Raw genomic sequence first — 26137 nt, forward strand, 5'->3', positions numbered from 1 at the left:
TCGCATTTTTTGTACAGACAGGGTTTCTCCATGTTGCCCAGGCTAGTCTCAAACTCCTGGGCTCAAGCAATACTGTCCACCTTGGCCTCCCAAAGTGTTGGGATTACAGGTGTGAGCCACAGCATCTGGTAGATGAATTGATTTTTGACAAGCAGGAAAAAACAATCCAGTGGGGAAAGAACTGGTTTTTTTTTTTTCAACAAATGGTACTGGGAAAACATACAAATGCAAATGAATGCAGCTGAGGTCGGGCACAGTGGCTCAAGTCTATAATCCCCGCGCTTTGAAAGGCCAAGGTGGTGGGTGGATCACTTCAAGTCAGGAGTTCAAGACCAGCCTAGCCGACATAGCAAAAGCCCATCTGTACTAAAAATACAAAAATTAGCCAGGTGCAGTGGCACATGCCTGTAGTCCCAGCTTCTCGGGAGGCTGAGGCATTAGAATTGCTTGAGCCTGGGAGGCGGAGGTTGCAGTGAACTCAGATTGTGCCACTGCACTCTGGCCTGGGTGACAGATTAAGATTCTGTCTCAAAAATAAAAAAATATTTTCAAAAAGAATGTAGCTGGATCCCTATCTCACACCATATATAAAAATTAACACAAAATGGATTAGAGAGCTAACTGAAGAGCTAAAACTATGAAACTCTTAGATGAAAACACAGATGTAAGTCTTTCTGATAGTGGCTTAAGACAATGGTCTCTTAGATATGACATCAGAAGCAGAAGAAACACAAGAAAAAATAGACAAACTAGGCCAGGTGTGGTGGCTCATGCCTGTAATCCCAGCACTTTGGGAGGCTGAGGCAGGCAGATCACGAGGTCAGGAGATCGAGACCATCCTGGCTAACACGGTGAAACCCCGTCTCTACCAAAAATACAAAAACAAAATTAGACGGGCGTGGTGGTGGGCGCCTGTAGTCCCAGCTACTTGGGAGGCTGAGGCAGGAGAATGGTGTGAACCCGGGAGGTGGAGCTTGCAGTTAGCCAAGATCATACCACTGCACTCCAGCCTGGGAGACAGAGCAAAATTCCATCTTAGAAAAAAAAAAAAAAAAAAAAGTAGACAAACTAGACTCCATAAAATTTAAAATTTTTGTGATTTAAAGGATACTGTCAAGGAAACTAAAAGACAATTCACAGAATGGCAGACAATATATGCAAATCATATATCTGATAGGGTAACTTTTTACAGTATATATAAAGAACTCTTACAGCTCAATAAAAGGAAAACCCTACTAAAACAATGGGCAAAGGATCTGAATAGACATTTCTTCAAAGATGTATAAATGTCCAATAAGCAAGTAAAACTATGTTAATCATTAGTAATTAGAGATGCAAATCAAAAGACACTATGAGCTCTCATTTTACATACACTAGGATGGCTAGAATCAAGAAGATATGTGTTGACAAGAATGTGGAGAAACTGCAACTATCATAGCTGGTAGTAAGTAAAATGGTACAGCCACTTTGGAAAACCGTCTGGCAGCTCCTCAAAAAGTTAATCATAGGGTATCTATGACCCAGAAATTACACTCCCATTTTCTGCAATAAAAATGAAAACACATAGCCATACTATGTTACACAATTCTTCATAACAGCAATATTCTTAACAGTCAAAAAGTGTTTCCACCAACCAATGGATAAACAAAATGTGATATATTAATACAATGGAATATTAATTTGGCAACAAAAAGGAATGGAGTATTGATATATGATACAGCATAAATCAACCTTTAAAACATTAACCTTTAAAACATGTTAAGATAAAGAAGTCAGAAACGAGAGGTCACATTTTGTATAATTCCATTTATATGAAATGTCCAGAATAAGTAAATCCATAAAAACAAAATAGTTAGTTGCTGCCTGGAACTGGGAGGAGTGAGTGTTTTGGGGTTCCTTTTTCAGGTGACAAAAATGTTTAAAAATTAAATAGTAAGGGTTGCATAACTCTGTGAATATAGTAAAAATTACCAAATTGTGCATTTTTAAAGGGTGAATATGTACATGAATTATACATCTCAATACAACTCTCATTAAAAAAATAAAGATGACAACTTTGTTCCACTCTATTACGTAAACAGCTTGGAAATCATCACTCCCATCCTCACAAGAAAAAAAGCAGAACAACTGAAAATCAACTACTCTTAGAAGCACTGGAAAACTGAGTTCACAGGTCACAACACCTCCAGAAAAACTGAAGAAACATGTGAATATAGACATATGGAGCTATATTTACTCTAAAGCCAATAACTGGAAGGAACACTTTAAAAGTAAGTAGCAAACTGCTGGAGACTGAGAGTGAACTAACTTGAGCTTTAACTTGTGAGGGCTCAGTCTTAAGGAAGAATATAGGTGAGAAAAGGAGCTCCACCTGGTTTTTATTAGAGTAAAATCCCTCCATTTTGAGTAGGGAAAAGGGAAAAGTAACCATTTTGAAATCTGACCTAGAGTAAGAGCAATAATTCCAGCCCCCTCTAACCTGCCTGAGAGGAGGGAAGAAAAAAGCTTAAGAAATTCTTTTGAAGGTCCGTTCAGGAACTCTGGTCCACTAAAAAACCCAACAGATTTCATCATATGATTATAGAACACTTCTCCTCTCTACTAAACAGGGCTCCAATATAACAGATTACAACTGAGAAAATTACAAGAAATAGACTTTTTTTAATTAATAAAAGTTTCTAAGGAAACTCAAAACAAGACAAAAACCAGGAAAGTAGAGGAAAATGAAATGTCTTATACCTACAAACAATATAAATACCTAGTGAACATTAAACACAGCCTAACTCCCAGCCAGATAAACCTAAAATCTCACATTAAACACCTGTTTACCTGAGTTTCTACTACTCAATAAGCCATGTCCAGATTTCAACAAAAAATTGCAAGGCATGTAACAGGCAAGGAAAAGGTCTGAAGAGACAAAGCAAGCATCGAAACCAAACTCAGATAAGGTAGATTTTGAATGATCAAACTGGACATTTTAAATAACTCATTAAAATGCTAAGGGCTATAAGAAAGAATCAAAACAAAATGCTAGAAATAAAAAGCATTAACACAAATAAAGAATGCCTTTGACGAGCAATCAGCAGACTAAAAAAAACAACAATCAGTGAGCTTGAAAAAAAACTGGAACATGGTATTTGAGAATGGAGGACAACTATAAAAGGTGAAAAATATTCATAATAGTAATGCTAGAAGGAGAAGAAACAAAGAAAATGAAGTATTTGAAGTAATGATGGTTGATGATTTTCCAAAATTAATGACAGATCCCCCAAACCCCAAATCCAGAAAGCTCAGAAAACACTAAACAGGATAAACATCAAAACATCAACACCTCATCTTCAAACCTAGGTCAAAGACAAAGAGTAGGTCTTGAAAGAAATCAGGAAAAAACAAAACAAAACACTCACTCTATATAAAAGAAGGGCAAGAATTATATCAGATTTCTCTTCAGAAATCATGTAAGCAAGAAGAGAGTGGAGTGAAATATTTAAGTGTTGGGAAAAAACCCCACCAAGCTAGGATTTAGCATCCAGAGAAATTATCCCTCAGAAGTGAAAGAAAAATAAAGACTTTCTCAGACAAACAAAAATAGAGGGAACTTGTGGCCCACAAACTTGCCTTGCAAGAAATGTTACACGTTCTTCAGAGAAAAGGAAAATGATATAGGTGAGAAAATAGAATCCTTATGAAGAAAGGGAGAGTCCAAGAAGGAATAAATGAAGATACACTCTTTTATTTTTCTTAATCTTAATTGATCACATAGATAAGTATTCAAAATAGTAACAATATCTTGGGTAACTGCTGACTATGGATAAGTGAAATGAATAACAGCAATGCTATAAGGGACAGGAGGGAGGAGTTGGTTATATTCTGTTATAAGGTACCTGCACTATGTGTGAAGCAGTGTAAATGGTATTTAAAAATGAACTTAGATGAGCTCTAAGGGAAACTACCAAAAAATCTTTTTTAAAGAAGTACAATTAGTATTTTATACAGAAAAGAAAAATGGAATAATATACAATGCTCAATTAAAATCAGACAATGGGCTAGGCACGTAGCTCATGCCTGTAATCCCTTCAGAAGGCCGAGGCAGGAGGATCACTTGAGCCCAGGAGTTCAAGACCAGCCTGGCCTACATGGCAAAATCCCATCTCTATAAAGAATACAAAAAATTAGCCAGGTGTGGTGGTGTGCCCTTGTAGTTCTAGCCACTTGGGAACCTGAAGTGGGAGAATCACTTGAGTCCAGGAAGTCAAGGCTGCAGTGAGCTGAGATCCCGCCACTGCACTCCAGCCTGGGTGACAGAGGGAGACCTTGTCTCAAAAAAAAAAAAAAAGTACATTTTAAAATAAGCAACAAGGAACAAGTATAATGAGTAAGAAACAAATATGGTAGACACTAAAACCCAACTTTAACAATACTTTCAATGTGAATCATCTAAATATACCAATTAAAAGACAGAACTGACAAGAGTGAACAAAAAGACCCAAATATATGTTGTCTACAAGAAACTCACTCTAAATATAAAGACACAGATAGGTTAAAGGGATGGAGAAATACATACAATGCCAACACTGATCAAAAGGCAGCTGGACTAGTTATATTAATTTCTAACAAAGCAGAATTCAGAACAAGGAAAATTATCGGAGAAAAACAGGAATAGTACATAATGATCAAGGATCAATTATCAAACAAGATATAACAATCCTTAATTGTCAAGGGTCGTGATCAACTCAGTATAGTACTGGAGGCTATATGTGCAAACAGCAAACTGTTTCTCATAAAAGCAGGATGTCGGCAAACTGACAAACTGTGTCTGTTGCCCAGAAGGAATGCTGAGGGCAGCCACCACCCAGGCACAAGTGTTTCTTCTGATTAGGCATAACTGAAACCTGTTAGCAATAATGTGAACCTGTGATCAATCCAGCAGCTGACCAATCATTACCTCCTCCTGCTGCTCTTTCTACCCAATACATATTAAGGGCTGTAGAGTCTTAGGCAGCTGCCTTTGCTCACTAAAAGCAGGGAGCCCTTTTCTTCTTCTCTTCTCCTTCCCCATGTTACCCTTACTTTAAAGTAGTTACCTTTGTCTTAAGTTTTCATTTCTATGTCTGTCCCCCTTGATTCAGTCTCATAATGATGGTCTCAAGTAGTAACAGTAATAACTGTCTCAGTGACAGTCTCAAGTAGTAACTGTGGCAGTCAGCCACACTTAATGTGTCTGAGCCTAACAACAAAGTGTCAAAAGATGTGAGACAAAAACTGATAGAGCTACGAGAAGCAGCAGTTAACTCCACAGCTATAACTGAAGACATCAACACCCCTATATCAACAACTGGCAGACACAGCAGGCAGAAAACCAGTAAACATATAGTCAAACTGAAAAGTATCATCCATCAACTGGATTTCATTGACATTTATAGTATACTTTATCCAATAACCGCATAATACATATTCTTCTTAAGCTCACAAAAACATTCACCAAAACAGAACACATTCTGGGACATAAGAAAGACATGCCTTAACTAAAGTCATACAAACTATGCTCTCAGACTTTAATAGAATTAAACTAGAAATCAACAAAAGAAAGATAGCTGGAAAATCCCCAAATATCTGGAGATTAAACAACACATTTTAAAATAACACATCAAAGAAGTCTAAAGAGAAATTTAAAACTATTTTCAACTAAATGAAAACAACTTATCAAAATTTGTGGGATGCAGTGAAAGCAGTGCCTACAGAGAAATTTATAGCACTGAATGTAATGGTGATCTAAAAATCAATGATTTAACTTTCCGCCTTAGGAAACTGGAGCAATAAATACAAACCTAGAGAAAGAAGAAGAAATGAGAAATAGAGATAGCAATGAAATTTTAAAAAATAAAATAAAATAAAATAAAAATCAACAAAATTAAAAGCCAGTTCTTTGAAAAGATCAGTAAAATTGATAAACCTCTAGCCAGGATAACCAACAAAAAAAAAACACAAATTATTAATACCAAAATCAAAGACATAAGAAACTATTATTATCAGTAATAATATCAATACTGATCCCAGACATTAAAAAAGTATTAAAGAAACATTTATAACTAACTTTATGCCCACAAATTTGATTATTTAGATGAAATGGATTTCAAGGCAATTCCCTGAAAGATATAATTTATCAAAACACACAAGGAGAAAATGAAAATCTGAATATGCCTCTATAGATTAAAAAATTAAATCAATAATTAATAACCTTTACAGAAATGAGAAAGAAGAGGAAGAACTCTGGTAACTAGATCGAATTGTAGTGTCAAAATAAACTCCATCCATTGAAAGAGCCTAGAAGCAATGATACCCAAGAGTAGAAAGCACACCCATAATAAATCTATTAAATAAAATTCAAGAATATTTGTTGCATAATGTTTGTCCTCAGAATATATCCAATAAGGGTGTACGATATATTGTGTTCAAAAGTTATCTGCATTCATTATTTTTTTTTATTGTGGTTATTGTTTGTAAAAGCTAAATAAAAACATATACTCAGAAAAAAATAATAGTAACAATTAATAACCTTCCAAAAAAAACAAACACTGGGCCCAGATGGCTTCAGGGTAATTCCAACCAAACATGTAAGGAAGAAATAACACAACTGTCTCCAATCTTTTCCAGAAAATACACTCAGAGGGTACACTTTCTAAGTCATTCTGAGTCTAGCATTACCCTAATGCCAAAACCAAATAAAGACATTACAAGAAGGGAAAACTGCAGACAAATATCTCTTATGAACACAGATGCAAATATCCTCAATAAAGTATTAGCAAATCAAATCCAACAAGGTATACAAGAACTATACCTCCTTGAAGTCTGGATATTAAAATAAATAAATTAAATTAAAATTTTAAAAAAAGAACTATACACCAAGACTAAGTGGGATTTATCCCAGGTATGCAAGGCTGGCTCAACATTCAAAAAAAACAATGTAATCAATCACATCAAGAAACTAAAGAAGAAAAATCACGTGATCAGACCAATAGATGCAGAAAACGCATCTGACAAAATCCAACACCATTCTTGATAAAAACTCTCAGTAAACTAGGAATAGAGGGGGAGCTTCCTCAACTTAATAAAGAACATCTACAAAAAACCTACAATTAGTATCATACTTAATGGCTAAAACTAGACACTTTCTCTTTAAGACCAGGAAAAAGGCAGAGGTATTTCCTTTTACGGCTCTTATTCAACATCATAGGGGAAGTCCTAGCTAATGCAATGAGACAAGAAAAGGAAATAAAAGGTATATAGATTGAGAAAGAAAAAATAAACCTACTTTTGTAGCTGAAAAGATTGTTTATGCAGACAACATCAAAGAATTGACAGAAAAAAACCTCTTGGAAAAAATAAGCAATCATAGCAAGGTGGCAGGATACAAGGTTAATATGCAGAAGTCAATTTCCTACGCACCAGCAATGAACTGGAATTTTAAACACACAATACCACTTATATTAGCACCAACAAAAAGGAAATAATTAGGCATAAATCTAACAAATATTGACAAAATTGATACCATAAAAACTATAAAACTGCTGAAATACTCAAAGAAAAGCTAAATAAATAGAAAAATAGCCTATGTTCATGGACAGGAAGACTCAAATTTTAAAATTTCGAATTCTGAATAGTTTATTCATGTATATAAGTTACTGACACAGTAAGAGGGATCTTTTTTTTATCTTACAAGACCTAAAAATTACTTAATACCTTTGAAATAAAATGTTTTATTTCTGCCAAATGGCATTATGAATATAATAAGACTTAAGAGCACCAAAAGTTAGTTACTACAGCAAGATACACTAGTATACGTATATCTATTTATATTAAGAAACTCAGGGCACTTGTCTATAATTCACAAGTTACCAATCTTAAACATTTAAGCTTATGAACATATACCCATTTTTTTCTCATGTAAAAGAACAAACTTTAACATCTTTCAACCATCATAAGTGAAATAATATTAAAAGTGATATATACCAACTGGTGATTCACATAGTAGTGTTATAAAATCAAACCAAAAACATTCCAGCAACAACTGCAGGCCAGGTGTGGTGGCTCAAGCCTATAATCCCAGCACTTTAGGAGGCTGAGGTGGGTGGATCACTTGAACCCAACAGTTTGAAACTGGTCTGGGCAACAAGGCAAAACCCCGTCTCTACATAAAATATAAAAAATTAGCCAGGCATAGTGGTATGTGCCTGCAGTGCCAGCTACTCAAGAAGCTGAGGTGGGAGGATCACTAAGTCCAGGAGTTCAAGGCTGCAGTGAACAGTGATCACGTCACTGTACTCCAGCCTGGGCAACAGAGTGAGATCTTATCTCAAAAAACAAACAAAAAACAATTACAGATGCTCCTGTGAAAATATTTCAATCAGGTTACATACTTGAGACGTATTTCAGTGTTTAGAAAAGGCAATCACTATCTAAAAGAAATGAGAACTTATAAAAAATAATAAAGAACCAAAAGGAAAGCAATTGTTGAGAAAGCTATGGTTCTCAAAGATTATTAACACAGAAATTATTTGACAAGGTAAACAGAACTTCAGCTGGCCACTGCATTTAAAACATGTTTCTTATTTACTATATTTTATTATGTTTTGGCTTTTTAAAAGCTTGCTGGCCAGGGCTAGTGCTTTCTTAGAGATAAGAGGGCTCACAGGAGCATGTCTTCCATATACAAACCAACCAATCCTGAGTCTACAGCCAAATCCACCTCCTTATCTAACGCTCACATACGAAGCCAGTATTTCCTGCCCTAAATCATTCCAGAGTCAGGTACCAGGCAATTAGAGACCACCTCTACAGCTCAAAGCCTGGAGGAATCATCCAAACTCTTCAATCCTCAACTGTTTACTCTGCCCTCCCTTGCCTTTCCCAGGAAATCCCAATACTCTGGCCTGGACTTTTCCGTGGCTCCTGTCTTCTGCTTCCTGACTAAAACCTGGTGCTTCCCCTGTGTAGCATGCAGTGACCCTCCCTGAGACCTGTGAGTATAATAAAATTCTTCCTTCTAAGCCTTATTCTCATATCCCCCTGCAGCTACCCAGACTTTACCACACCGTATCCAACACCTACATTCTTAGAATAGCCACTATTAATATACAAAATAAATTTAAGTATATGCATGCTCAAAATATTGCAAAGTGAAATATTAATCACCAGATGATTATCTGCACCAATGGAACTGAGGTAAGAAACTTAAAACTAAAGTAACAGAAAACAGAAATCCTTTTTTCAAACCTAGAACATTCTGCTGTGATTAAAAAAAAAATTTGTTCCAATTCTAATTCTATGCTGACAGTAAAGCAGCTACTTATCTCTCTCTACACTGCACCTTCTCTACCACATTCTTCCCAAAGCATAAAGAATCATGAAAAACAGAAATTCTTTCTTGCCTTCGGAAAGTTCACAATAATATACACCAAGCTGCATCTTTCTTCAGCTGCATCTTTCTCCCATTACCTCTCGAAGAGCTATAAAAATATAAATATACAATACCTAAAATTAAGGCCTGGCTATATTTACTAAGATGGCCTTCAAAGTACCTATTCATTTATCCTGCCTTTTAATAATTAAGACAATAAGGCTCTAAAAACAAGAAAAGCCTATTAGTTTGAGAGTTCCTCTGACGATTCTTTGTCGAATAATTCCATCTGTAGTTAACTACTACAACAACAACAAAACACAAAATAACTTGTTAAACTGTTAAATGTTAAGGAAAATAATCTATCATATGCATAAAACAACATATTCTACTTTTCACCCAACAGACACAAAATTGTTTATGTTTCCAATAAACTGACATTTTTGGTTAATAAAATTATTTATATTTTAATCCATATTTAAAATCTTGTTTTTCAACATATCCCTATAAGATTAATAAATAAAAAGTAGCAACTTTAAATCACACAAATAAGTTCAGAAGAAACTGATTTACATTTCAATTCTATAAACATTACAGGTTCTACTTGTACCAAATGAGATGTACCTATAAAACTATGGAGACTGAGATGCGTTTTACTGTTTTGTTTTTCAATAATATTTCTCTTCACAAGTGCTATAACTTAAAAATTACACTGGATGTTCAAGACTTGTTCACAGGAAGTCTCCAATTTTTAATATAAATCGGTCAAAAAATAGTGTTCTTATTTACTTAAGAATTACAAGGAAAAAAAGGAAAATTATTTCAGAAATAAAGACAAGCTAATTGGAACACAAAGTAAAAGACCCCACAAGAAAAGAGGAAAGAGAATGGAGGAAATTTTTAAAATAACGAAGTTAGTCAAGTGTTACAGATCCTTTAGAATTTCTCTGGCAGGTTTTCCAGTTTTTACCAAAAAACTCTTCAAAAAAACAAAATAATAGAAGAAGTTAGTCAAAGAAGACCCAACATACATTCATAATTAGAGTCCCTAAAAAACAAACCCATGTAATGGAACAGAACAAATACTGAAAACCATCATACGAAAAAACTTTTCTGAAATAAAACACTTGAACCTACTCTTAAGACCATACCAAGATCAACACCAAGACATAGTCAAGTAATGGTTCTTTAAAGAAAAAGAAAAATCTTTCAGGTAACAGGCAAATGACCAAATTTCTTGTAAGAAAAAAATGTCTGAAGACTTTGAAAATGTCCATGGAGCTCATAAAAAAACATGGCTGGGTACAGTGGTTCATGCGTGTAATCCCAGCACTTTGGGAAGCTGAGGTGGGAAGATCATCACTTGAGCCCAGGAGTTCAAGACAAGCCTGAGCAACACAATGGGACCCTGTCCCAACAAAAATAAAAATAAAAATAAAAAATAAAGTTAGCTGAGCATAGTGGTGCGCACCTGTACTCCCAGCTACTCAGGAGGCTGAGGCGGGAGGATCGCTTGGCCCCAGGAGGTTGAGGCTGCAGTGAGCCATGATTGTGCCACAGCCCTCCAACCTGGGCAACTAAGTGAGAGTCTGTCTCGGAAAAAAAAAAAAAAGAAAGAAAGAAAACATGAGCCAGGGATTTTACATACAATCAAAGCTTCAAATATAATGAGTATAATGGTCACAAGCAAATAGTTTGAACCAAAAGGACTTAAAAGAATATTGTTCCCATGAGCTCACTTGTAGAATGTGAGCTTCAGATAACCAAAAAATCCTCGAAGTATCTTTGGGATAAGGTCTGATGATGAGTATTGAATATAATTTAAAATTAACACTAAGTGATCAGAATAAAGATAACAGTATAGTGTATGCAAATGTTATATGCTCATAAAATATAGATATAAAACAATTAACAAAAAAGAGAATTTACAGAAAAAGCAATGACCTACTGATACACTCAACTACCTGGATGAGTATCACATGCATCATGCTAAGTGATTACAAAATAGCCATTTTCAAAAGGTTACATTTATATAACATTCTGGCTTCAAAAGGCAAAACTATAGGGACAGAAGACAGATCAGTGGTTGTGAGGAGTTGGGGGTGGGAGGAGGGTTTGAGATAAAGGGGCAACAAGAGAGAGTTTGGCGTGGTTGTTATGTAATTTTAGTTGTGGTTGTTATGTAATTCTATTTGTCAAAACTCACAACTATACACTGAAAAAAATGTATTTTACTGCACATTAATCAATAATACATTTTAAGTGCAAAAAACCCACAGACACTGGGGAAAGGGAAGAAAAGGTGCTGAAGAGGTTACTAGCTAATTTCATTATTGCTCACAATACAAGAGTACCTTAAAAGGAGGGGACTATAGGTATTAGTATAAATGTACCTCTCTCAATGTAAAAATATACTAAACCTCTCAAAAAAAAAAGAGCAAACAAAATAGATAAAATAAAAAAATTCAAAAGCAACAAAAATGTTTCAAGTTTCCTTTCACTCCCATCCCCATTTAACCACTTCCTCTACTTACAGCCAACTAGTGTCATCAGCTATTTGTGATACCTCTTCAAAGTTTTCGATGGCATATTTGCTTCCATTTTCAAAAGGAAATAACAAAAGAATAAATCAAGAACTAATGAAAATGGTTACCTGAAGGGGGAAGAAAAAAAGGATGACGTGAACCTTCTGTGAAGTGCCTTCTTTCCTTTTTTTTTTGAGAGAGAGTCGTGCTGTCACCCAGGCCAGAGTGCAGTGAAGCAATCTTGGCTCACTGCAACCTCCACCTCCCAGGCTCAAGCGATTCTCCTGCCTCAGCCTCCTGAGTAGTAGCTGGGATTACAGGCACGTGCCACCACACCTGGTTAATTTTTGTATTTTTAGTAGAGATGGGGTTTCGCCACATTGGCCAGGCTGGTCTCGAACTCCTGACCTCAGGTGTTCCTCCCACCTCGGCCTCTTAAAGTGCTGGGATTACAGGCGTGAGCCACCGCACCTGGGCCAAGTGCCTTCTTCAACAGTCTTACTTTGAAACAATGTAAATGTTTTATATAATTAAAACAAAAATTTAAAAATCAGTCCCTAAGAATGGAAGATAATTTTAAGTAAGTGAAACTAGTATATATCAAGTTGGTGGCAGAAATACAGAAAAAAGAATTACTTCAAGTGACTTTAAAACACAGTATTTTGAATATCCATCCCTAATGGGATATATTCTAAAGACTGAAGCAAAATTAAAAAAAAAAAAAAAAAAGACTGCAAAAAAACATACAGTATTCAATGTTCTTAATACATAATTTTTTTTTTTAATTGATGGAGTTTTGCTCTTGTTGCCCAGCCTGCAGTGCAATGGCACGATCTTGGCTCCATGCAACCTCCGCCTCCTGGGTTCAAGCGATTCTCCAGCCTCAGCCTCCCGAGTCACTGGGATTACAGGCGCCCACCACCAGGCCCAGCTAATTTTTGTTACTAGTAGAGACAGGGTTTCGCCATGTTGGCCAGGCTGGTCTCAAAACTCCTGACCTCAGGTGACCCACCTACCTCTGCCTCCCAAATTACTGATATTTTAATTTGGCAATGTATCAAGATATTCTAGGCTAAAGCAAATAAATATGTAAATATCACTAGAATCAAAGATTCTCAGAATAAGAAAAAAGAAGTATAAAATGAGAGACTTTAAAACTGATTTGGAAACTCTGCAACTCATGAACTCACTTTGAAATGCATTTTAAAAAGATGGGGTGTGGATGTACAGATCTATAATAAAGTAAATATAGCAAAATCTTAATTCTAAAATCTAGGTGGTGTGTACAAGGGTATTCACTGTATTAACTCTGTCTTCTGTATGTTTGTAAATGTTGGGGAGGAAAACTCCTTAGATTCTGTACTATACAAATCACAAAGAATCACTGGGATGAATCTCAACTCTTAACCAGTCTGTTTTTCCATCTGACAACAATTACTTCTCATCAACCATTTTAAAACATTTCAACCACTCCTCCAAAAAACTATCCATACTACTAAATCATCCACAAAGCCAAAAAGGTCTAGGACCAACAGATCATTTCTCCTTATCTTGGAATGTTAATCAACCTAAGTGATTCCAGCAATAGGCAAAGAGCAAGAATTCAATATATCTGAGATAAACATAAATAGAATGGTTATAAACTGTTTTCCTGGTTCTGAAAAACTGAAATATGATTTCAAGTAATATATTCATCAGGACAAAACTATATACAATCTTAAAGTTATATGACATGGGTGTCTTTAAGACATTAAAATGAAATTTTCTTCCTGAATTTTCAATTAAATTTATATTAAAGTGAAAGTATAAGAACTGGTACCCATGAGAATAATTTTTTTTAATCTCTCATGTGACTCAAATACATCTTAAACCTATTTTTCTTTCTTAGACTAATGTTGAAAGCAGTTTTAATAGAGAAAAAAAGCTGGAGAGAATATACTCCAAAATGTCAACTGCCATTAATCCAGGTGGTAGGATTGTATATGCTTTTAAAAATATGTTATTTTTTTTCTATTTCACAGGATTTGTTTATTTGATTTTCCCTTTTGCATTAAGAATGCATTACCTTGTAATTGGAAAAAAAAATTTCTTGGGAAAAAAAAAACACCTATACTTGTTAAGTATAAAATAACTGACAGAGTAAGAGGTAAGGGTGATTTGGGATTTAAACTGCACTAAAGATAACCACTTCAAGAATAATTTGAGAAACATGATGGTTATATATCTTTAGGTCACTTTTCCCATATTTCATACCTTCTTAAATAACCAATTTTTCTCTCCACCAAAAATGTGGCTCCTACCATTCTTAATGGTTTTTAGAACATATCCAAAATCCAAGACTCACATTCTGTTCATTCCATAAATATTGACTATCTATACTCTGTACTATGCACAGCAAGTGCTAGGGGATTACAAAAGAAAAGATGTTATTATCCCTACCCACCTCTACTTAGTTAACATATTTATGCAGCACCTATTTTGTGTCTGGCATTGTTCTACACAACATGGATATAGCAGTAAACAAAACAGACCAAAAAAGCCTCTCTGATAAAGATTTTCTTCTCTTGTCTTTCATTGTTATGCCCTACACTTAGCCAAATGCAGCAAATCCACCTCAGAAATCCCTCTGCATCTCCTTAAAACTCACTAAAAACAGCAATATATAAATCTCTCATTTTGTCTGAGTATATCAGCTCCGTGCTGATTTCATTTTTTCCCTACCCAGCCTGAACTAAAATGGTCCATTTAGATATTCCCTCACCCGTAACCTCAATTACTACAATTGTTCTTCCAACTTACCTAACCTATAGTTTCCCATTTTGCATCAATCATACAATTCAACTTTCCTCTCTAACCAGCTGGGTATATAGTAAAAAATTGTAAGTATGTAAACCGCTGTCACAAATTTGTGGTTTTAAATCTCACAGTTCCTCAATACCTTCACTTCTCTGATCAATGAACATTTACTAAATATCTATGTGTAGGATGACACAGATAAAGCTGTGGCAAAGACAAAAGTCTGTGCCCTCCCTAAAGGGATACTCTAACGGGTAGGACAGATCTTAAATAAATAATTATGAAGGTGATTAAATGCTATGAAGGGGAAGTACAAGATGCTGTGAAAGGGTGTTAACAGAGGAGCCTCATCTTGTTTGGAGGTGAAAAGGCTGTCAAGACAGGCTTCCAGAAGTAGTGATAAGTGCCAATAAATAAATTCCGCACAGCATCCCACCTTCCTAATTTATACTTAAAACCCCATATCCCACCTACTGGGCAAAGAAACTTGCCTCATTCGCCTCCTCAGCCTTCTCCTGGACTCACTAGTGATTCCTTCTCCTCAGCATATACATACAACAAGGTCTCTCCCACCCAAACATAAATTGCAATAATTTTTCCGGAGAGTAATTTGGCCATGTGCATCATAAGCCTTAAAAATGTGCATACCCCTTCTTGTGATCCATAATTCCACTTCAAGAAATCTTTCCTACGGAAATAAAGACAAATTTCATGCAAAAAAGAGTATTTAGAATAGTGAAAGAATTAAAACAATCTAAATAACTGGCAACAGGAGAACAGCTATGGATGTGCCTTAATAAACTTAGACTATGCCACAGCCAAAAATAAAAAGATATTCAGAGCTTTTAATCTCATAGAAGAATGCTTATAATTATGTAAGAAACATACTATAACTGCTACATAGAAATAAATCAATAATAATCCTCTACAAAAAAATTCAAAAATAAGCCAGGCATAGGATACATCTCTGTAGTCCTAGCTACTCGAGTGGCTGAGGCAGGAGGATCACTTGAACCCAACAGTTTACAGTGAGCTATGGTTACAGTGAGCTATGAATGCGCCACTGCACTACAGCCTGGGCAACAGAGAAATACCCTGTCTCCCCAAAAATACTAAATAAATCAATGATAAACACAGGATGTAAAAACCTGTATAAAGAGGATACCAGGCCGGGCGCGGTGGCTCACACCTGTAATCCCAACACTTTGGGAGGCCTAGGTGGGAGGATCACGAGGTCAAGAGATCGAGACCATCCTGGCCAACATGGTGAAACCCTGTCTCTACTGAAAATACAAAAAGTAGCTGGGCGTGGTGGTGTGCGCCTGTAGTCCCAGCTAATGGGAGGGAGGCTGAGGTGGGAGAATTGCTTGAACCTGGGAAGCAGAGATTGCAGTAAGCCGAAATTGCACCACTGCACTCCAGCCTGGCAACAGAGCGAGACTCTGTCTCAAAAAAAAAAAAAAGAGTATAACTAAGCTTAAAATATAAGTGTATATATAAAATCCGAAAGAAACGAGCAGAAGTATTGATAGCAATTAATTATACAAAAATCATGGTTTAGTTTTCTCCCTTACATTTTTTCTGTACTTTTTTTTCTTTCCTGAATTTCCAAAATTTCTTCCCCCCCCCCCCCCCGCCCCCCGAAATAGAGTCTCACTCTGTAGCCTAGGCTGGAGTGTAGTGACAGAAACACAGTTCACTGCAGCCTTGACCTCCTGGGCTCAAGCGATCTTCCTGGCTCAGCCTCTCATATAGCTGGGACCACAGGTGCATGCCACTACACCCGGCTAATTTTATTATTTTTATTTATTTATTTATTTTTTGAGATGGAGTCTGGCTCTGTTGCCCAAGCTGGAGTGCAGCGGCGCGATCTTGGCTCACTACAGCCTCTGCCTCCCAGGTTCAAGGGATTCTCCTGCCTCAGCCTCCCAAGTAACTGGGTACAGGAATGCGCCACCACGCCCAGCTATTTTTTTGTATTTTGGGTAGAGACAGGGTTTTACCATGTTGGCCAGGCTGGTCTCGAACTCCTGACCTCAGGTGATCCACCCACCTCAGCCTCCCAAAGTGCCGGGATTACAGGCATGAGCCACCATGCCCAGCCTAATAAACAGGGTCTCGCTTTGTTGCCCAAGCTGGTCTCGAACTACTGGGCTCAGGCAATCCTCCCACCTCAGCTGCCAAAAGTGCTGGGATTACAGGCATGAGCCACCACGCCTGGCCTTGAATTATCAAATTGGCAGTGTATTACTTTTCTAAATGGGTTGTGAATTATTGTTTCTCACAACAGCAACACAGCTACTAAGTCCACTGGCACATTATCTCCATTCCTTACCTCTCTTTGACACACTGCACCTGCTATCACCCCAATTTTAAGGAAACTGCTATCACAAGGACTAATTAACCCCCCAAATGACAAACCAGTGGAGACTTAGCAGTCCTCCTTTGAACTGACTTCCTTGGCTTCTGAAAACACCTAGGATCTGCCTTCTAATTCTCTGACCATTCTTTTATAGAATCTTAGATGATTATGTAACAAGAAGAAATTGTTTTAAAAAATTCATAAGTACATGAAAAGAATCTCAGACGAATTCCCTCCTTCTATATGTCCTTTAAATATGGTGTTTCAGGTGTCCACCCTAGGCCCTCTTTGTTTTTGTTACATTACATACTTGGGTGATCCTATCAATTCCCATGGCTTTAACAACTTAACCTTCTGACCACTCCAAAATCTACCTTCAGCCCTACTCTCCTAAATCCCATTTATTTTTAGTCAAAGCCTTTGCTATTAATTTTCTGGGATTCCCCTAGCAGCTCAAACACTGTTCTCATCATCATCTTCTTTAAAGATCCACTTCCTGGCCAGGTGTGATGGCTCACAACTGTAATCCCAGTACTTTGGGAGGCTGAGGCAGGAGGATCCCTTGAGCCCAGGAATTTGAGGCTGCAGTGAGCTATGATCACACAACTGCACTCCAGCCTGGGCAACAAAGTGAGGCCCTATCTCTTAAAAAAAAAAAAATCCTCTTCTGGTATTTTCTGATGTATTTAGTCACATCACTATCCATTTAATCTTCTAAGACAAAAGCTAGGGAGTCATTCTTAACATTCTCTCAACAACTACCTTTACGTGCTTACTACTCCTACTTCCTAATCAAGGAAATAAAGACAGATTTCATGTAAAAAATTAAGTCCTAATTAGTTAACAAATCTGTCTACTTTCCTCTACAACCCCACCACACAGATTAAACCCTCAATTTATTATTACAATAACCCAACTGATCTCTAGAAGTCAGTCTCAGATCTATTTTCCATATTACCCTCAGATAACCCACCTAAAAAGCAAATCCAACCATATAATTCCCTTGCTTAAAACTAGCACCTGAAAGATAAAAGGTAACACCCATTAGCATTAGAAGTCCCTTCATGATCATCTCCAGACACATTCCTCCCACAAAACTTTATGCTGAGCTTCCTCCAGCAGCAGCAGTGGCAGCAGCCAGCAGCAACAGCAGCAGCAAGAAGACACGAGTTTGCTGTGCACCAGGCATCTTTTTTCAGAGCAGCATCAAGCTACCTTGAGTTTGCTTCACACCAGGTACTCTAATAAGTGCTTTAAGTGAGTTATGTAATTTAGTCTTATGAGGTTGGCACTATTATTTCCTTTTCACAGACTGAGAGAGTCTGTCAAAAAATACAAAACCACAGAACCAGTTAAGTAGCAGAGCCAAGATTTACATCTCCACTATATTTCTCAACAAAAGTAACTAGTCAGCTTCTAAAACAGCTACTAATCTTTAACATCTCTGTTCATATCCTATCTTGTGAAGGATACCTGAGCAACTGAAGGACAGAGAAGCTTATGTTTAACTGTATTCCTCTTCTGTAATTTTATGTAAGCTTCCTAGATAGACTTCCCTGATCACCACCCTGTCTTCCAACAGTGTTGGTTACCTCCTCCAACATACTTCTCTAATTTGTTTATATGTCTACTACTGTGTATCTCATACTGGATTTTATTAGTTACTTACATGTTCATTTCCCTTCTTACCTGCAAACTTCTGGAAAGTAGGTACCCTTTCTCAGCCATGTTTACAGCCCTGTCTCCATCTCTGTCAATCCTAGGTTCTTAGCACAGTATCTGGCACATAACAGGTACTCGACAAACTAAATCTCCTCGTCTGTTATTTTCCTCCTGTTATTTTTTTTTTTAAATCTCTATCACACTCTATCCTCAGGCAACCGCCTCACAACCTAACTCCTAGCCCTAGCCCGTAAACTCTGTAGCAGTCTTGCAGACCGCCATCACACACTTCATCCTCTCCCCACTTTGTATTATCTTTCTAAAGCAGGTATCATATATCTTCCCTACTCAAAAAGATTGAAGGCAGTCTGGGTGCAGTGACTCATGCCTGTAATCCCAACACTTAGGGAGGCAGGAGGATAGCTTGAGGCCAGGAGTTCAAGACCAGCCTGTGCAACATACCGAGACCCATCTCCACAAAAAAAAAAAAAAAAAAAAAATGCTGGGCATGGTGACGCACACCCATAGTCCCAGCTACCTGGGAGGCTAAGCTGAAGCAGGAGGATCACTTAAGTAAGGGAGGTCAAGGCTACAGAGAGCCTTGATTGTGCCACTGTACTACAGCCTGGGTGACAGAGCAAGACTCTGCTGCAAACAAAAACAAAACAAAACAAAAAACTGAAAGCTCCCTTCTACCTATAGAGTATATTTCACCCTAGAACTATCATCAAGGCTCTATAACATCTGATTCCATTCTCACTTTTTTTCCTTTTTTTTTTTTTTGAGAGATGAAGTCTCACTCTGTCGCTAGGCTGGAGTGCAGTGGTGTGATCTCGGCTCACTGCAACCTTTGTATCCTGGGTTCAAGCGATTCTTCTGCCTTGGCTCCCCAAGTAGATGTGACTACAGGCATGTGCCACCACACCCAGCTAATTTTTGTACTTTTTAGTAGAGATGGGGTTTCACTATATGTTGGTCAGGCTAGTCTCGAACTCTTTATCTCAGGTGATCCACCCGCTTCGGGCTCTCTAAGTGTTGGGATTACAGGCATGAGCCACCACACTCAGCCTGTTCTTACTTTTATAACTCTTCCTTATAATCCAAGTCCCCAACAATACTGAACCATGTATCTCTGCCAAAGACCACAAAGTTGCACTCTTCCTGTGAGACTATTCTGGCCATTTACCATAGTCTGGAATGTTCTTCCCCAAAAAGGCCTCTCAAATTCTTACTCATTTTGTAAGGTCTACCAACTACTACTTCCTGTATAAATATTTCCTTGAGCCAAAATTAATTACTCTCTCCTCAGTTTTCCCATACATGGTCTCATTTCTAAGTACTTAGTATATTATGTCTTAAGAGTTGCATATTTCTGCTTCCTGCCTTGTCCCACCATATCTTCCAAACACCATATACCAACAGTTTGGTCAACAAAGGACTATGTATGTAGTCCTCTGTTGGACAGACCAGGTATGTAGTAGGTACAGCCCAGGTATGTAGTAGGCTATACCATCTAGGTTTACATAAGTACCCTTTACGATGTTCATAAAAAAACATCGCCCAATGACTCATGTCTTAGAACATGTTCCGTAGTTAAGTGACATATGACTACACTAAATTTGATCTTCCTCAAGGGCAGGGACCACATTCAGTTCACTCACTGTATTAATTGAGTTTCTACTAAATGTCAGGTCCTCTAGTAAGAACTATGAATAAGACAAATCAATAAAATAATTTCTTATCCCCACTCAGCTGCTGACGATGTGCTATATCATAGGTGTTCAACATATATTTGTTAAATAAATATATTGCTTACTTATAATAAATGTATTGTTTACTCTTTGTTCACATTTACCCTGTGCTTCCATTTGCTGCTTACAACGAATCAAACCTAGAAGGAAAGATCCTTCTAGTTTTCAAAGCTAGACAGGAAGAAAGACCTTTGTTCTCCTCCCCCGCCAAGAAATAAACTAGAAAGTCAGCAAGCATAAAAGGAACATTCTGAAAGAGTGCACTTTATTATCAGCAGAAGAATTTAGGAACAGAACAGAGAGACTGAATTACTTGCCAGTTCTTACTGAAACACTGTCAAAGAGTGGCATCAATATTTTGTTTGAAGAGCTAAAAATACCATTCATAATAAATTATAATTCTAAAAACTTTCAAATAAAAATTTTGTTCTCTCTCACATTTAGAATTAACAGTATGTCCACTGCCTCTATTAATATGCATAATTTAAAATTTGAATGAAATCCCTGAACTGAAAGTACCTAAGATACAGACTCCTTAAAGAAATTCATCTCAACGGTCAATGATCACTAAAAAGAAGGGAAAGTAAACACACACCCGTTAAATATATGCCCTAAAGAAGTTATGCAGGGCCAGGCATGGTGGCTCACGTCTGTAATCCCAACACTTTGGGAGGCCGAGGTGGGTGGATCATTTTGAGGTCAGGAGTTCAAGACCGGCCTGGCCAACATGGTGAAACCCCATCTCTCCTGAAAATACAAAAATTAGCTGGGTGCGGTGGGGCATACCTGTAATCCCAGCTACTAGGACAGACTAAGACAAGAGAATTCCTTGAACCCAGGAGACAGAGGTTGCAGTGAGCCAAGATTGTGCCACTGAACTCCAACCTGGGTGACAGAGACTCCGTCTCAAAAAAAAAAAAAAAAAAAGTCATGTAGATAAAGTGATTTAATTTTTCTTGTGAAATGCATTAGATTTTATTTTTAAATTAATAATATTTAAAGACTATTTAGTCCTAATAAATTTATTTAGCTGCACATATACAAAACTTAGGTTCAGTTTAAATGAAAACTCATGGCAGAAAATGAAATATATTCTTTCACTCAATAAAAGGAACTTTCTTCAGGTCTCATTTTCTAGGCAATAAAGAAATACAAGTAACAATCATGACAGTCATATTCCTAATTTTCCAGGGTAAACCTAGAAATAACGTACACCATAGGAATTAAAAGTCTTTACAAGCACATAATACATTAACACCAGTTCTTTCTACCCTATTGAAAGAGGCAATTCACATCCAACTCTTGCCATTTCATGAGAAAATTTGTTGCCAAGGACAATTTATTTTAAAAACTGAGATCTGGGATAAACACTGTTTAAAAGAAAACTCAGTGTTTTTTTTTTGTTTGTTTGTATGTTTGTTTGTTTTTGAGACTGAGTCTCGCACAGTCACCTGGGACGGAGTGCAGTGGCGTGATGTCGGCTCACTGCAACCTCTGCCTCCTGTGTTCAAGCGATTCTCCTGCCCCAGCCCCCCAAGTAGCTGGGATTACAGGTGCCTGCCACCACGCCTGGCTAATTTTTTGTATTTTTAGTAGAGACGGGGTTTCACTATGTTGGCCAAGGCTGGTCTTGAACTCCTGACCTCATGATCCACCGGCATCAGCCTCTCAAAGTGCTAAAGGCTAGAGCCACTGTGCCCAGCGAAAATTCAGTTTTAAATTAAGCAGAATAAACTCTCAGATGGGCACACATCACTGCAAACAAAAGGTTCCTAACAGCTACTCTTTCTGGTCCATACTTTACAAAGATGTTGAGATTTTTAGGAAATAATCTTTTCTCCAGAAAAACATTAGTTGGCCAAAATTAGCAATATGAGTTGCTTTTTTTTCATAAATGAATTGTTCTTTGCTTCCAAAAACAATGGGCTGGGCCTAGAACTTTGTTCGACACGTTTACCAGAGAGATAAATGAATGTGACCAAAGAAGTACAATAGTTTGGCCAGGCGCGGTGGCTCACACCTATAATCCCAGCACTTTGGGAGGCCGAGGCGGGTGGATCACCTGAGGTCAGGGGTTCGAAACCAGCTTGGCCAACATGGCAAAACACACTAAAAGCACAAAATAAGCTGGCCGTGGTGGCGCATGCCTGTAATCCAGCTACTCGGAAGGCTGAGGCAGGAGAATCACTTGAACCTGGGAGGCAGAGGTTACAGTGAGCTGAAATCACACCATCGCACTCCAGCCTGGGCAACAAGAGCGAAACTCCGTCTCAAAAAAAAAAAAAAAAAAAAAAAAAAACACAAAAAACAAAAAGGCAGGGCACAGTGGCTCACACCTGTAATCCCAGCACTTTGGGTGGCAGAGGCAGGCGGATCACCTGAGGTCAGGAGTTTGACACCAGCCTGGGCAACAGGGTGAAACCCCATCTCTACCAAAAATACAAAAATTAGCCAGGTGTGGTGGTACATGTCTGTAATCCCAGCTACTTGGAAGGCTGAGACAGGCAGAATTGCTTGAACCCAGGAGGTGGAAGTTACAGTGAGCCAAGATCGTGCCACTGCACTCCAGCCTGGGCAACAGAGCAAGACTCTGTCTCAAAACAAAACAAACAAAAAAATAGTTTTCTCCAAGAACATACAAGAAATAGTACTTCTTCTAATCCATTCATTTATTCATACCTTTAAAAGCCAGCTATAAGTTAAGTACTGGAGTTATAGAAATTAAAATAGTCCCTTACTCTTAAATCTGTAGGGTCATGTTGGCAGTAAGCAGACAATTGAAACAATACAAATATCATAATTACAGTCTGGCCAAAATGTAAAGGAGGCATAGAAAAGGCATATTCCTACTTTAAGGAGAAAATGCCATAAGAAAGGTACTCCTAAACTAGGACTTGAAGACCAATTAATTAGCTAGGCAAATAGAGAAAGGGATAAGAGAAGGTGAAGGAAGGGCATGCATAAGGAACTAGAAATATAAGCCAGCATGCGTAGTCAGAGAACTCCAAATGGTACCTTATAGGTGAAGAGCAGGTGAGAATTAGGGATTCTTCAACATAATTAGTCATTAGGGAAATATAAATTAAAACCACAGCAAGAAATCACTAGAAACCTATTATAATGGCTAAAAATTTAAAAAAAAATGACAATACCTAGTGCTAAGATCAACAGGAACTCTCATACACTGCTGGTAGAAATGCAAACCAGTGGGCCAGGCACAGTGGCTCACACCTGCAATCCCAGAACTTTTGGAGGCCGAGGCGGACAGATCACCTGAGCTCAGGAGTTCAACACCAGCCTGGGCAACATGGTGAAACCCCGACTCTACTAAAAATACAAAAGATTAGCCGGGGGTGGCAGCAGATATCATATCCCTCCACAGCATGGCTGGTTTCTGTCACTCAACAAGCACATGAAACACAAGAACTATGTCTGTAAGGAACTTACTGTCTGGCTCAGGAGAAAAAAATGTATATATGAAAAACGTATATATGTAAAAGCTAGAGGCCGGGTGTTGTGGCACATGCCTGCAATCCCAGCACTTTGGGAGGCTGAGGCAGGCGGATCATTTGAGGTCAGGCGCTCGAGACCAGCCTGGCCAACATTGTGAAACCCTGTCTCTACTAAAAATACAAAAATTAGCCAGGTGTGGTGGTGGGCGCCTGTAATCCCAGCTACTTGGGAGGCTGAGGCAGGAGAATTGCTTGAACCCGGGAGGCAGAGGTTGCAGTGAGCCAAGACTGCACCACTGTACTCCAGCCTGGGTGACAGAGCGAGACTCTGGCTCAGGAAAAAAACAAAAACAAACAAACAAAAAGAACAAAATGCAAACTAGTATAGCCACTTTGTGAAACAATTTGGCAGTTTCTTACAAAGTTAAAAATACACTTAACTACAATCCAGCAATCCCACTCCTAGATACTTACTCGTGAAAAGAAAACTTATGTTTACACAAAAACCTGTATATACATGTTTACAGTTCCAGCCAAAAAACTGGAAACTGAGAAGTTCTTCAACTGGGGAGTGGGTAAGCAAACTTTGGTTCACTTATCTACAAAATTAGATTTAAAAGGACTGTTCTATGAATATATACAACAGGGAGGAATCTCGAATGTGTTATGCTAAGTGAAAGATACCAGACTTAAAAGGCTACAAACTATATGATTCCATTTATATGCCATTCTTGAAATGGACAAACTATAGAGACAGAAAACCAGTCAACAGTTACCAGGAGCTAGATATGGGGAAGGGTTGTCTACAAAAGAGTATGGCAGAATTTTGGGGGATGATAGAGCTGTTCTATATAAAGCAGTCCGCATTTATCTGTGGTTTTGCTTTCCTCAGTGTTTCAGTTACCCACAGTCAACTGAGGTCCAAAAATATTAATTGGAAAATTCCAGAAATAAGCAATTTGTAAGTTTTAAACTGCATGCCATTCTGAATAACATGATAAAATCTCATGCCATTGGATTCAGTCCCGCCCTGTCCCCACCTGGGAATCATTCCTTTGTCTAGCATATCAACGCTGTATTTACCACATGCCCTTTAGTCACTGAGTAGCCCTCTCAATTATCAGACTGAAAAAAAACATAGTATATATAGAGTTCAGTACTATCTGCAGTTTCAAGCATCCACAAAGGGTCTTGCAATGTATCCCCCACAGATAAGGGGAGTCTCCCATATCAACTGCGATGCTGGTTATATGACTATACATGTTTGTCAAAACTCACAGAACAGTACACTAAAAAGAATAAAGTTTACTATGTGTAAAATATACCTAATTTTAAAAACAAAAGAAAAAGGGTAAGGTATCCTGGCTACAAAGAGACTGAAAAATGACCCAAGAGCTAGTCAGATCTGAGGGGTCCTGTTAAGAAGCTCTACATTTTATCCTTGAAGCAACAGATATCTCAAAAAACGGGTAGAGGCAACTCAGTTTTTTATTACTAAGAACCCTGACAACAGTTATAGACTAGAATAAGAGCAAAACAGGCAGCAACTGGAGACCCATCAACCAACTATCTGAGAGTAATTCAGCAGATAAATAATTGAGATCTGACAAAGGGAGAGGCAGTAGAGATGAACAGAAAAGTTAAAAGCAGGAAATTCTCAAGTTTCTAGCAATAGTGAAACCACCAACCAAATGTTTTTTTTTTTTTTTTTTTTTTTTCAGAAAAAGATTTTAAACAAGCTAAATTTAAATGCCTGTGGGACATTCAAATGCAAACATTTGGTTAGACACATTGTCTGGAGCTCGAGGGAATAAGCTAAGATGTAGCATTAGATTTGAGAATCATCAGGGTATTTGCAGCCAAATATGAGGTCAAGTTCATATAATTTGAAGTATAAAAAGAATCAGCTTACTGATTATACAGCTTGTAAAGTGAGAAATGGTGACAATCGTGTGCCTATTTCAATATGGGCCTCTCTCAACCACTCTATCCTTGGCATCTCTGATTTTCTCTTTGGCTTGATTACCCTAAGAAAACTGAGGCAGTTACATAAAAAGCTGTCACTGAATTCCAAGTTTTTATTTTCTGTTGCTCATACTGTTGACATCGAGAATATTCAGCCGATAAAGGAGTAATCTACTGAATACACTTATTTGGTTAATTAAACACAGGAGGACCACTAAGAGGGGTTT

General features: G+C 37.6%; 1 protein-coding gene and 1 non-coding gene across 5 annotated transcripts in view; one reads left to right on the top strand and one right to left on the bottom strand.

Moving 5' to 3' along the window:
- Positions 1-26137, bottom strand: part of RANBP9 (RAN binding protein 9) — a 90338-nt gene that overhangs the window by 48265 nt on the left and 15936 nt on the right. The window contains exons 1-2 of one of the 4 annotated variants that reach the window (XM_017010149.2): positions 17054-19219; positions 15367-15406 (exon numbers count right to left, since the gene is read on the bottom strand). The exons of the other annotated variants lie outside the window; for them this stretch is intronic. Coding sequence (XP_016865638.1) covers positions 15367-15383 — 17 coding nt within the window. The 5' untranslated portion in view covers positions 15384-15406; positions 17054-19219. Of the gene's footprint in view, positions 1-15366; positions 15407-17053; positions 19220-26137 lie in introns of those variants that run through there. 4 annotated transcript variants of the gene reach the window in all.
- On the top strand, positions 10318-10379 carry LOC124901523 (U7 small nuclear RNA). The gene has a single exon (XR_007059944.1). It is a non-coding gene; the product is annotated as a U7 small nuclear RNA (small nuclear RNA).

The sequence above is a fragment of the Homo sapiens genome, chromosome 6 (genome assembly GCF_000001405.40).
Source record: "Homo sapiens chromosome 6, GRCh38.p14 Primary Assembly".
NCBI lineage: Eukaryota > Metazoa > Chordata > Mammalia > Primates > Hominidae > Homo > Homo sapiens.